General features: G+C 35.7%; 1 protein-coding gene across 6 annotated transcripts in view; it reads right to left on the bottom strand.

Annotated features, from left to right (window-relative positions):
- ATF6 (activating transcription factor 6) overlaps nucleotides 1–14,255 on the bottom strand; it is a 197,751-nt gene that overhangs the window by 99,584 nt on the left and 83,912 nt on the right. For 2 of the 6 annotated variants that reach the window (NM_001437597.1, XM_011509310.3), the window contains exons 11-14: nucleotides 12,652–12,822; nucleotides 11,164–11,263; nucleotides 4,210–4,280; nucleotides 1,175–1,289 (exon numbers count right to left, since the gene is read on the bottom strand). In NM_001437597.1, the coding sequence (NP_001424526.1) occupies nucleotides 1,175–1,289; nucleotides 4,210–4,280; nucleotides 11,164–11,263; nucleotides 12,652–12,822 (457 nt within the window). The remainder of the gene's footprint in view (nucleotides 1–1,174; nucleotides 1,290–4,209; nucleotides 4,281–11,163; nucleotides 11,264–12,651; nucleotides 12,823–14,255) is intronic. The other 4 variants (NM_007348.4, XM_047449542.1, XM_011509309.1 and 1 more) reach the window with 3 other exon arrangements.

Here is a 14,255-nt window from a genome sequence, read left to right as displayed (position 1 = left end):
ACAGTGAGTGGTAATAATCAGAGAATGAATTTGCTCATTCTATTGTTAGTATAGACACTCATCCCTCTGTATATGTGGAGGACTGGTTACAGAGCCGCCTGTATAACTCCAAATCTGTACATACTCAAGTCCCACAGTTAGCTCTGTGGAATCTACATGTGTGAAAAGTTGGCCCTGCATATAAGTGGGTTTGGCATCCTGCTAAGGTTGAGAAAAATCCACATATAAATGGACCTGCTTCATTCAAACTTGTGTTGTTCAAGGGTCAACTGTACTTACTTCTAACCATACCCAGTGTATTCTTAAAAAAAAAAAAGAAAGCCAGCTACTCAGTATCACTTGAGCCCAGGGGTTTGAGTCCAGCCTGGGCAACACAGTGAGGTCCCTTCTCTTGTTTAAAAACAGAGAGAAAGAAAGAAAAAACAGCTTGGGATAGAAACCACCACTGAGGAATTCTAATTCATTCATGTGCTCCTGGGTTAACCTACAGCACTCTAACAGAGATATTCACATGGCAATTCTATGAAGAAAATATTTTCATTTTATAGAAAAAGTAGATGAAATATAAACAGCTATGCATTTTTTCCATTTAGCCTAACATTCATAACATTCAAAAGTGCTAGTATAAACATTTACTTTTACATAAGCTAACTGATTATCTAACACATTCTTCACCAACCAAATGTTTAATTAAGAAGAGATAAAAGAGGAATAGAGATTCTTAGGAACATAGATCCAAACATTCCACAATTAATAATCAGCCCATGATCCATCTCAAACCTACATTTCAGAAGTCTGTTTCTCAATAACCAAATGGGAATTGGTTTAAAAGCCTAAATAGGAAAAGCCTAAATAGAATATTTTTATGTTTTTACTTTTCCTTTTTTTATAAACAGCATGGCTATCAGGATTACAAACAATAAAAATCAACAAGTAGTTTATATTTCCTAAATACAAACTCATAGTCTGACACCAATTCCATGTTCATCTTTATAATACTCAACAGCTCAAAGTAAAGCATATATTACAGTACTTAGACTGTTCCACTCACATAATTTATTTTATATTGCTTCCTATTTCTCACATCTTTGTATTTTCCACAATATTCAGCCCAATGTCTTGTGTACGGCAAGCACTCAAAAATATTTGCTCTATTCTTTCAAGATGAACTTACCCTTCGAAATGACACAACATAAAATGTGTCTCCCCTTCTGCGGATGGCTTCAAAAAAGTCTTGATAACTTCTGGGTGAAGCATAATACACTTGTAGCTCACTCCCTGAGTTCCTGCTAAAGTAAGAAAAATATAAGGTATTACTAAAATAAAAAGTTTCCTGTTTTCCCAAAATACTTCCCATTCTAAGGCTATGTCTGAATTCTAAGAATCTCTCTCAACCAAAATATTAGTTGCACTTTGGCAGTAATTTTTATAACAATATTTTGCAAAGCCCAAGGATCAGGATATTTTATAAGAACCCATTCACTTATGCTAAAATTCTGATTTCTGAATCAAGGCTCTAAAATGTACTAGATGGTCAAGTACATTGCAAAGCATGTAAAAATAATGAAAGTATCAGAAAATAGAGAGATTTCTGCATAGGTTTGAACGATTTTTAATTTTTTTAGTAATACAAATTAAATCTGAGGAAAAGTCATTTTTCACCACCCTGTCGAATATATGAAGGTATGCTTGCCTACGAGGCTGTGCAAAAAGGTGGAAAAAGCTTAGGACTTGAAAACAAGCAGACTTGGTTTAGAATTCCTGCTTCACTTCTCAAGTGGGCACTCCTGGGGAAATTGCCCTCCATGAACAAACTGTTTCCTCCTCAATAAAAAGAGTATAACCACACAACCCTTGTAGGACTGTTACTGGAGATGTTATATGTCAAGTGCCAAGCATGGATCCTGTCCCATAGGAGTCACTCAACAACTGCTAGTCATTGATATTAAAAGTACCATGTATGTGCCTTACTAAAATTAAAAACTAAAATGATAATACCTCAAACCACATCATGCCCCAAAAAATACAGTCAAATGATTCTAATAGAGTTCTTAATGTGTTCAGGATTTTCTAGGGTTTAGGACCAATATCTGGAAGAGTTAAAGGGATCCTGTAAAAATGCTTCATTTTTCCTCAAAGAGAAAACTTGTATGTATCAATCAAATATTATTAAGAGGAGAAAAAGACTGACCTAAATGGAAGTAATAAATGAGTCATAAGAATTTCCTTTGAAATAACTCCATTTGTTCACTAGGCCATTTCTGATTACAATATTTTGAATATATAGTCGCTTCTTGCTATTTTGTGATAGTTATGTTCTAAAAAGTCACTGCCAGCAATGAATTAGTGAATCCTAAACCATCCTCCTGGGGGAAATACAGGGTTAGGTTCCTGCAAGCCTCTGGTTACAATATTTCTGTTAAGTGATAAATATATAACCTTATTTATGTGTTTCTGTTTAGAGATACCTTCTTTAACATATATTATTCATTCACTAACTTGAACTCACAGCCAACTGCACTATAAATCATGCCTGAATGAAACTTATCTAACATACGTAGTTTCTCCACACAGCACATCACAGCCCGCTTCGGCTTAGCAACACTAGACAGCAATTCAGCAATATGCCTCGGGGCCATTTCAAACAGCAAAATTACCAACAAAAAGCACAAAAATATGAAAAATGTGGACTGTGAAAAGGACCTTGTTTATATAGCTGAGACTAAAAGGCAGAACACTGCCTTGTTCAACCTCACCAGGGAGCATCTACGCATGTTTGCAAATGATGACAAAAGCACTGCTAATATTAGGGGTTACAAATACATTTTAGCAGATTTTAGTAGGTGAATTAGCAAATATGGAATCCACAAATAATGAAAATTGGCTGTAATTCACTAAAACATTTTAACTAATGAAGAAATACCATGCCATTATAACCATGCATCCAAAAATTGATATATTTTTAAAATAAATGTAATTGAATGATATATTCTGGTTAGCAGAGAATGATTAGTTATTATTTAAACATATTTGAATTATCAATTTCAACAGGATAATACAATCTCAGGATTTTAAACATTCATGATTGCTGATATGCTGCTCATTGTCATTTAATAGGAATTCTCAGTTATTAGTATAATGAATAAAATAGCTTTTGACTTCATTTTTACTATCTATCTATCTATCTATATTTTTTTCTCAGTGCCTAGAACACTGGCACACAGTATATTCTAAGTAAATGTTAAATTCATATAAGTGAACTGCAAATGTGTGGTAGAGCTACAGATAGAAGCTGAGATCCTCAAATTTCACTTCAGTGATACTGTTGTCAATGACATCACATCATTATCATTTACCATTTTGGGGGGCACTTATGTACCATGCTAAGTGCTCTAAATATATTATCTAATTTAACCATTATATCAACTCTGTGCAGCCAGCATTTTGTAGATGAGAAAACTTCAATTGCATGTAATCTGCTTGAGCCCACAAAGTAAGAGGTAGAGTTATAATTTGAACTCTGCCCAACAGGGCAAATAAAGCTAGCATCTTAACCATGACACCATATTGCTTCCCATATTATATTTCCCTTTGAAGACATTTAAACCTGTAGATACAGCATTCTCTTTGAAATCTTTCAAAATCTTAAGTATTATTGTGTAGTGAAAAATGCATTGTAAGTAAAACAGCTATGATCTGAATTCTGAGTCTACCACTAGGTCTTATGACTCTGAAAATTACAAAAAAAATAAATGATTTGACCAGTTTTTCTATATATAAAATAAACTTTTAGTTATTACATGGATTTAAAGATAAAATACATGTAAAACACTCAGCAGGACACCTGGTACAGAGCACTCAAAAAATAACATTCCCTTCCCTAGGTTCATGAAACAGATGCAAATCAAGGGCAAGAAAGCTATGGGTATTCAAGATTTTCATCAAAATTATGATGGAACAGCATTCTGACTAAATTTGTATTTAAGGGATTTGGGAGAGTTGAACTTTTGAAATTATCTGGCTTTATTCCAACTGCTCAGTAGTATGTTATATATATATATACATATATATATATATCTTAGAGTATATGACTAATATAAAACTCATAGATGAGAACAAATTTAAGGTGAAAGGGAAGTGTGAATTTCAACTTTCTTAAAATACCAGCTATTTTAAATTCCTTGGCCAAGAGCTTCTGCACTGTCTTACCTGATACTACTAGTGGTTTCTGTGTATTGAACAGCCATCAGCTGAGAATTTGAGCCCTGTTCCAGAGCACCCTGGAATATTAAAAAAAAAAAAAGTTTAATACTGTATCACAAAATTATATGAAATCTTCCTATACTGGTTCATTCTATACTTAAATTTGTTAAACTTCCATTGCTAAGATTTCTGACATATTCAGTTCAAATAATTAAACACTGACAGATATTAGAACTCTTTAGGTCCATTCTAGTCTGGGAGAAGTGTCTTATGGAGATTAAGGCATTTAAGGCACTTTCCATTAAGTTTAAAGAAAGAGCCCAAAAGCTAGTCCAAGCACCACAAATTTTATGACCAAGCTATATAAGTGTTACTGAACATATAACAATGTCTGCTTGTCTAAAATAATTATCTTCCCAATGACAAGTTCCTAAGAAGTATGAAAAGTCCATAATGAAACTAGATCCTATTGTTTACTGAGTTAAACACAGAGATCTTCATGCCAAAATACATCTATGAACTAAGCCATCATTAAAGAGTTCTTATTGATGACTCTTGGCAAGAGAACAGTTCAATCTACACCCATTAGTGGCCCACATATGCTACACTGGAAACCTGTCTTTCACACAGCATTTGCTTTGCACTATGCCTTTTTATTCTCCCTGGTAGTTATGTAAGCTGATTTTCAGAAGCGGTTTGTCAGGGTATCAGACTTCAAGGGCATATTACCAAGTTCTATTTCATTAGAAAGTAATCTTACCCTGTCAAACAATGGTTTAAATAATTTTTTAATCATTTGTTCATTACTGTGTCCATATATCCATCTTTCAGTAATCAAAGCACCTACATGTGCCCAAGCTACAAAATTAAATATTTGACTTCTGCCTTTAAGAAGCTCGCAGTTTAACTGGGAAGACAGATATAGGAAAACAATACAATGCGATAAGCGCTAAAACAGAAGCATGTACAGAAGTTTAAGGGAGAAAAGAAAAGGAAACAATTTTGTTTGGTGGATGGAACCAATATGCAGAGATGAATATAGGGGTTCCCACTTCTGGCTCTGTAACAAGTCAAGGATCTCATTTTATAAAAATCTAATGTGGGTCTTGTATATTGTAGGTGTTCAATAAATGCTCTGTTTAACAACAAATGAAAAAAATCACCAATAAAATGAAAAGAAGAACACAGTTAAATAATAAAATACTATACTTACTGGCATAGTTATCCAGTAAGTAGTAAATAAAACCAAAACTAAATTATAGCTAGTTGATAAATATAAGGTTGAAAATGAACAGATTAACTGGTGAATTTTAAATGATTAGTGCTACTTTGGCCCATATGAAATGAGCAAAGAAGTTTGAAAGAAGCCAGACTTATTTCCCTAGTCTCAGAAAGCAATGGGTAGGCCTTAGGAAAAGCCAAGTTACAGAGATATCAGGCAAACAGAAAACAGATATTCCGTTTACCTATCCAAGATTTATACCAATTAACTAAGGAACCTCTGAAAAACTAGTCATGAGCTTTTGCATTTTCAGCTGTATGGGTTTAGCAAAAGATCATAATTGACAAAAATGTGAGAGGCATTTACACAGAAATGAGAGGATGTTAAAATCTCCAGTTATGCTGTAGATCTTTTTCTCAAGTTCTGTCACTTTTTGCTTTGTGTACGTTGAAGCTTTGTTATTAGGGGCCTAGACATTTAGAATTGTTTTATCTTCCTTGTATGCTCCTTTTATCAATAAAAAATTTCTTTTGTTGTCTCTTAGAATAATCTTTGTTTGGAAGTCTACTTTTTCTGATTAATATAGCCATGTCAGCTTTTTAATGCTTCATGTTTGCATGGCATACATCCTTTTTCACCTTTATTTTCCATCTGTCAGTGTCTTCATATTTAAAGTGTTATTTCTTATAAACAATATATAGTTGGATCTTTCCTTTTTAAAAAAATCTAGTTTGAAAATTTCTTCCTTTTAATTGATGTGTTTAGCCCACTGAATTTAACTACTAATATGGTTGGATTTAAGTCTACCATCTTGGTATGCATTTTTAATTTATTCTATTTGTTCTTTATGTGTTTCTCTTTTCCTGTCTTCTTTTCACTGAACTGCATATTTTTTAGTATTCCATTTTTATTTCTTACATTGTCTTTTTAGCTATATTTTTTCTTTTCTTTTTAAGACACAGGGTCTTGCTTTGTTGCCCAGGCAGGAGAGCAATGATGTGATCACAGCTCACCGCAGCTTCTCAAACTCCTGGACTCAAGCAATCTTCCTGCCACAGCCTCCCTAGTAGCTGAGATTATAGGCACAAGCCACCGTGCCTGGCTCTAGCTGTACTTCTTTATGTTAGCTTTTAGTAGTTGCTCTAGAGATTATACTTTGATATCAGTTACTGCAGTCAATCTTGAAATATTATTCGAACAACATAAAAATTTTATTAAGAGTATTATTCCATTTATCCCTCCCCCCCTTGTGTTCTTATTGTCTTATATTTTACTTCTATATAAGCTGTAAACCCCATAATAAATTGCCATTATTATTGCTTTAAAAAGACAATAGTCTTTTAAAGACATTTAAATACACACACATAAGATAAATATAGTTTCTTTTTAAAAAGTCCTGTTCTTTTTACCCAAATATTTGCCCATTCTGATGCTCTTCCTTCCTGCTAATCTGGGGTTCTATCTGGTATCATTTACCCAAGTCTTTTAAAAAATATCTTTAGCATTTCTTATAGCACAGGTCTTCTGGAGACAAATTCCCTTGGTTTTCTCTATGTGAAAATGTCCTTATTTTGCCTTCATTTTGAAAGATATTTCATTAATTTTCCCCTTTACCTTCTCTAAAAACTCAAAGTCTAGGAAGAGGGTAGAACTATGAAACAGGACAAGTCAAATCAAAGACATAATGCTTAGATACAACAGATATTTCAAAGAAATCAGTTCACTAAAATTACAGAATATTTTATAAGACATAATGCTTAAATACAACAGATATTTCAAAGAAATGTCAGTTCACTAAAATTACAGAATATTTTATAAGAGTTTGGGATACTCTTAGCAACTGAAAGAGGTAACCGGAAGAAAAAAAGGTTGAAATGAGAAAAGAAAAAGGAGAGCAGTTACAGGCTCTTTACACCAAGAAACAGAATTTTTTTAAAATCTTGATATGCTTTGGCATTGACAACAGCATAAAAGCAGAATAATTCTTCTCCTTCCTCTAACCAGGAACTTCTTTACTACTGACAAATACTACTGACAAATACAGATTCTTCCCCATCATTCCCTTCTATAGTAGCTAAGATTCTCACATTTCTGAGCATATCTAAGCTCCCTACAGAAAGAAGTGTACCCAAAATAGCACAGAATGAAATAAGACTTTAAACTACACATCTCCAAATGAACAAAGACAGTAAAATTAAAACAAAATTCTTTTTCTTGCATTGGAATTCCTTTAAGAATAAAGAATACCAAGCACCCCTTCCACAGTAAATGCTCTATTCATTTAATGACTAGGAAAGAAAAACATGACAAGTTCCATCTAATGATAAGGCCAAAAAAAAAGCATTTAGGGCAAGAATTTTAATCTAATTTTTCATTAAGTTAATTATACTAGCTGTGTGGGATTACCTACTGGCAATGATCTATTCCTGACTCCTGTGCTCTTCCTCTGTGTAGCAAAGGATGGAAGCCTGAAACCTATATCGCTCAAACTATTTTGCCACCAGAGCTCTGGATATAATTTAGATTCTGCCAATAAGATGCACTTGCTTCAGATGTGGAAAGCAGAAGGGAGAGAGGGTCCATTTTTCCTCTGACCATGGTAGCAGCTGACGTGTAGGCTTTGGCAGACATGAATTTTTGAAGTACTAGGCTCCACATACCAATGCCAATAAGCAGCTTTGGGACTTTGGGGTACATGTGACATTGTTAATGACTGTCTGCAGCCTCTATTAGTATTAACAACCAATAAAGTTGCCTACTATAGTAGGTGAAAAAAGTTGGAGAGGCCAAGAGAAGCACACAGTAGATAATTACAGAATTTCAGAATGTCAGAGTTTGAGCTCACCTAGACTAGCCCTCATTTTATGTATGAAAACAGTTCCATAATGGTTAAAAACCCATGTTTCTTGTTATCCTTTTAATGTACTTTAGAACATAACACATACTGCTTCCAATTAGTCAGGAAATAATTAAATAGTTTAAGATGTTTCCATTAGCATGTAAACATGTAAACCTGGTGAAATATTTCCCATCCAAAAATAAAACTCTTTCTTGACTCCTGTAGCTACTCCATTTCTCTATTCCCATGTATAGGGATCACCCTGAAATAATTTTCTTCACTTCCCCCTCTATTATTACTTCCCTGAATCCACTTCAGTTGGCTTTTGCCATCACCACTCCAATGAAAGAACTTTCACGAAGGTCACTAACAAGTTCTGATGGTCAATTCCAAAAGTAATTTCTCACTCTTTATCTGAATCAGCATCTCTTAGCTCTCTTAGCCCCTGTAATTAACTGTTACATCCCCTTCTTTAAAAACTTTCTTTGCTTGAATTTTGGGACACCACTATCCCTACAATTTCTCCTATTTTACTGGCCAGCTACTCTTCTTCCTTTTCAAGTACTGGTTCCTCTTTCTCTTTCAACCTGTAATGTTGGAGATGGCCCAGAACTTGGTACCTCACTCTGTTTTCTTTCCTCTTTATTTCTCTCTAGCTAGTAGCACCACAAATTAAACTTCCAGTTTCAACCTCTCTCCTAAACTCCAGACCCAGATATTTGATTGTCCACTTGACTTCTCCACTTGAATGCCTAATAGCCATAACAAACTTAACATACTTAAAATTCTTGACTTCCACCTCTAACTGCTCCTTCCCCAGTACTGGTCTCAGTAAATGGTATCACCAATCATCCAGTACCTAAGCATAGGATTTATCATTATATCAACAATTTCCATCAGCTTTACTTTCAAAATATATTTGGCATCCAGGTACTTTCTGCCACCTTCACGACTACCACACCAGTATGGACCACAACAATTTCTCTCACCTAGCCCACTAAAATGGCTTCTTGTCTCCCTACTTCCAGTCATACTCCCCACCATGGTCCACTTTATGTAGCAACTACTAATTTTTTAAAATATAAATCATATCAAGTCACTCCCCTACTCAAACCTTTCAATGGCATCCCCTCAAACCCATGATGAAACCCAAAGTTCTCATCAAAGCCTATGAAGTTTGCTATGAGCCTACATCTGCTGCCTCTCCAATCTCATCTACCACTCTCCCCTCAGCCCCTGCATTCCAGTCGTACTCAGCTTCTTCATGTTCCTTCCTGAGGGTCTTTACATTTGCTGTTCCCTCTGTCTGGAAGCTCTTTCTCCAGATTTTCCCCTAAATCTTTTTTTTTTTCTTTTTTAGACGGAGTCTCGCTTTGTCACCCAGGCTGGACTGCGTGATCTCGGCTCACTCCAAGCTCCGTCTCCCAAGTTCATGCCATTCTCCTGCCTCAGCCTCCCAAGTAGCTGGGACTACAGGCACCCGCCACCACGCCTGGCTAACTTTTTGTATTTTTTAGTAGAGATGGGGTTTCACTGTGTTAGCCAGGATGGTCTTGATCTCCTGACCTCGTGATCCACCAGCCTCAGCTTCCCAAAGTGCTGGGATTACAGGCGTGAGCCACCACGCCCAGCCTCCCCTAAATCTTTACATTGTTATTTCAGTGACTTTTCTGCCTATGGCAAAAGCAATGTTCTCACCAAACCCTTGTCTTCTTCTCGAGCACACAGAAAGATACATGATCCCAGTCTTTCTAACAGTAGTTTGGGCAAAGTGACAGAGTTTTAGCCAACTAAACATTGGCTAAAAGCCAGGCCTGATTCTTAAAACATTTTGCACAATCCACCAAACTCTTTCTTCCCTAACATCTCAAGCAAGAAGCAAAGAATTTCAAGTTGTTGGGGCTACACAATAGAAGGAACCTGGATCCCTTACTCCCTGCTTGGAGAAAAGCAATCCTAGAAAGTGAAGTCAAATTTTGTGCAAGTGAAAAAATTTTATTCCATTAAGCTACTGAGATTTTGGGGCTGTTATAACAGCTAGCATTAATTACCTTAACAATGTTGTCTTAAAGTGGAACTTCTTCAGAGAAGCCTTCCCTGACCACTCAGTCTAGTCACTCATTTCTCAATTCAAATTCTAACCTCCTATGCTGCTTTGTGTTTCTTTAGAGAACTTAGCTCTAATTTTCAGTGTATTTGTGTATTTATTTATTTGCTTATTGTTTAGCTCTGCACTAGAGTGTAAGCTCCATTAAGGTAGGGACTTTATCATACCCATTACTTTATTTCAGGATCAAGAACAGTCCTTGGCTCATTATTGGGAACTTGCAGATGCCAGTTGCTAGTCTAAATTCTAACAACAAATATTTGATGAATGACGGAATGACTTAATGGTGTTTTGTGGCAAACAACATTGAGATGGAACCCCCACTTAACAGATTCTAAGTAAGACCTGTCATTAAACCATAGTAGTAAATGTCTAAGTTCAGAAATGGATGTCTTCATTTCCAAACTGCCCCAGGTCTTAACATTCTCTTTTTGAAAAGCTCTAAGAAAAGAGGAGATAAGCAGTATTATTTATTATACCATTGTGACAAAGACATTTGATATAGATATCCATGCATAGGAACTCCTGGCTTGAAAGCAAATTTGAAGGTGAGAGCAAGAAATAGCACGATGCCTGATCAGGGAACTACTAATACTATAAAACCTAAACTAGTGCTATAAAACCTGGGAGGAGGACTTCAGTGGCAATGATAGCTGCATCGGAAGCAGCAGGAGACAGTGGGAAGAGGCTAAAGCTCAAGTTTACCAACCTTCTAGGGAAGAGAGTAACCCAGCTGGGAGAAGCCTTCCAACAAATACGCCAACTATTGTTCAAAGACAAACAGAAACATACCTGAAGAATACGGGTTTTCTGTTGATTATTTGTCATTCTTCTTGACTTGGTCCTTTCTACTTCATGTCTATGAACCCATCCTCGAAGTTCATGATTTAACCTATAAAATATAGTTTAATTAATTAAACATAGAAATTAATTAAACATAGAAATGGATGTTTCACCCTGTGGGTGGAAATGAATCTAATCATTTGTAGGTTCCAAAGAGCATTCCAAGTGCCTGATGACTCAATATTGCTTTTTGATTTGAAAAAGTTGACACTTAACGTTGTTTTTAATAAGACATGCATTTTTACATGGTAAACCTGTCAACCATGCATTCAAACTTCAAAGAAAACTACAGCTAAATACCTCCCAAATATAAACACTGGATGCTAAGGTTTTTCCACCAAAAAAAGTATTTCCTTGCCAGGCACAGTGGCTTACACCTGTAATCCTAGCACTTTGGGAGGCTGGGGTGGGAAGACTGCTTGAGCCCAGGAGTTTGAGATCAGCCTGCGCAACACAGTGAGACCCTGTCTCTACAGAAAATTTTTTTAAAAAATTAACTGGGCATGGTGGCATGTGCCTGTAGTCCCAGCTACTCAGGAGGCGAAGGCAAGAGGATCACTTGAGCCTGGGAGTTTGGGGAAGCGGTGAGCTATGATCCAGCCACTGCACACCAGCCTGAGCAACAGAGCAAGACCCTGTCTAAAAATAAAATAAAATAAAACAAAACAAAATAAAAAGTATTTCCTATTTCTGTTCTTGGGCTATATAAACACAAACATTTGAGACACATTGTAGAGAACTTAACAAGTCATAGGACCCCTAACAACAAATAGATGCATTAAAACCTCTTGAAAATCATGCTCTTTTGGGAGAAGAAAAAGAATGAACTCAATTGCCTGGGGTAAAAAAAAATTCAAATTTTTCAACACACGAAATAAAAGCATAGCTCATATATAACTTCCCTTATTTTGCTTACTTTTTACAGCAGCTGTGAAGATGTTAAACTATGTTTAACTGTAGTTGATTACTACATATCACAAAAAATCTGAGGTAGTTTTTGAGGTTTTAAGGGTAAGGTCCAAAATCACAGGAAAAAAAAATTCAAGGGAAAAATTGATAAAGAAGTGTGTACTAACGGTAAAGTATCTCCAGAATCACATACCCACAAATTATTATCTTCCTAATTGGAAGAAAAAGGTACTTTCTGCTATGAATGTTACCAACTGTAAGCCTAACACCATGAAATTTTAATATTAATTTCATTCTGTAGTTTTTAAAGAAGACATATTTAAGTAAGCAACTATCACATAAAATAGACCCATCACCATCTCCATGAGGTTGGTGGAGAAACTGGACAACTAATATGCCTACAGTTATCCACAAATAATTCAGAGATTCTCTCAGTCACTTAGTGAACTTGACCAATTACTTGTCTAGGTTCCAAAACTAAACATGGGAACCAACTCAGATGTTTCTGCAATAATCTACAACACTCACCTGAGAGACTCTGTTGTGTTAATTAGGGGCTGACAAGGAGGTGGAGGAATGTAAAGCAATGGTTCTTCAGTTAGCACCATCAGGGCTTTGTCATTTGAAACAGAATGATCATATCTGAAACATGGATGCACAAAATTTGTTTCCTTGTATCTTAAATTCCTAAGAAGTTTGCTATAAGAAAATCATCATTAGTGTTAACTTTTCATGGAAACAAAAATATAGTAAACAGAATATACTGCAAGATAAAGTATAAAATACAAAACCTTATTTTACATGAAATGTCATTTTCTGATTTTCTACAGAGACAGGATGGTAATTCACATTTGTCTAATCACCATTTATTGAGCAATTAATTTGGAATAAGCGATACAATAACACATGGTTCATCATATCTTCAATGAGCTTAAGACATGCACAATGCTGCTGGTACAGAGGTAGTAACACAGTAACGGGGTAATTGAGGCGAAAATCAAGTGGTATTATGTGACCAGACTAAAGTTTAGGGGTCATTCACAATTCTATGATAATAAAATTGGATAGTATCTGTAAAACAGGTAGGGGTGTGTGTGTGTGTGTGTGTGTGTGTGTGTGTGTGTGTGTGTTAAGGATAGGGTGAGACACAATTCTATGATAAAACTGGATAGTATCTGTAAAACAGGTAGGGGTGTGTGTGTGTGTGTGTGTGTGTGTGTGTATGTTAAGGATAGGGTGAGACATAAAATGCTTGGCAGGAGAAAAGTGAAAGAGTTGAAAAGCCGAATATAAACTATGGGATCATGGAAGAATGTGAATCACTAATAAAACAACAGAGTGACTGACATTAACTAGTTACTCCATTTGCTTCAAAAATATATACTTTCCTAGCCATCGCACTGATGTAGATCATGTGAATTCATATCCAAGGTGTGACGTAGGGAGCAAAACTGGAGTTGAAAGTTAGAATTTGAGATGGGGATATTACTGTTATTTATGCTCTTCAGTCTGCAATCTTAATCTCTCTCACTAACAAAGCTTGCATCTCTCTTGAATTTCTTTATATAGGATGATCTGGATTTAGAAAACTAGATATGCTAATATCTCAAAAGAAAACATGTAAACATATAAAACTGAACATAGTGAGACTCACACTTTTCATTTATTCATTCAACAAATACTTGCTGCATACCAACTGTGCACCAGGTATTGTGCTAGGTGCTGAGAATCCAGTAGGGAATGAGAGAATCAAAGTTTCTGTCCCCAAAGACCTTAATGGGGAAGATGGACCAAATAGAAGAAAATAAATGCATAAAATAATCCGAACTCTAGTAAGTGCTATGAAAGAAACAAACAAATGGTTGAAATGGAAAAGCAATGGTAGTATATACTTTAGATAAAATGGTCCGAGAAGGAGATGGTAGTTACATCAAGGCCTAAATGATGAGAAGACGCCGCCTCTATAGAAACTGGGGTAAGAGCATTCTAGGCATAAAAGAGGCAGGTGGGGGAAAGGTGGGCTCAAAGAACTTTAAAAAGACCACTGGCTGAAGAGTTGCAAGCAAGTGGGGAGGTAGAGAGGGAACAGGATGAGGCTGGAAAGGAATCATAATAAGGTCATAATAAAAGAC

Source organism: Homo sapiens, chromosome 1 (assembly GCF_000001405.40).
Source record: "Homo sapiens chromosome 1, GRCh38.p14 Primary Assembly".
NCBI classification, from domain to species: Eukaryota; Metazoa; Chordata; class Mammalia; order Primates; family Hominidae; genus Homo; species Homo sapiens.
The sequence above is the reverse complement of the archived record's forward strand: the minus strand, read 5'-3'. Positions and strand labels throughout refer to the sequence as shown.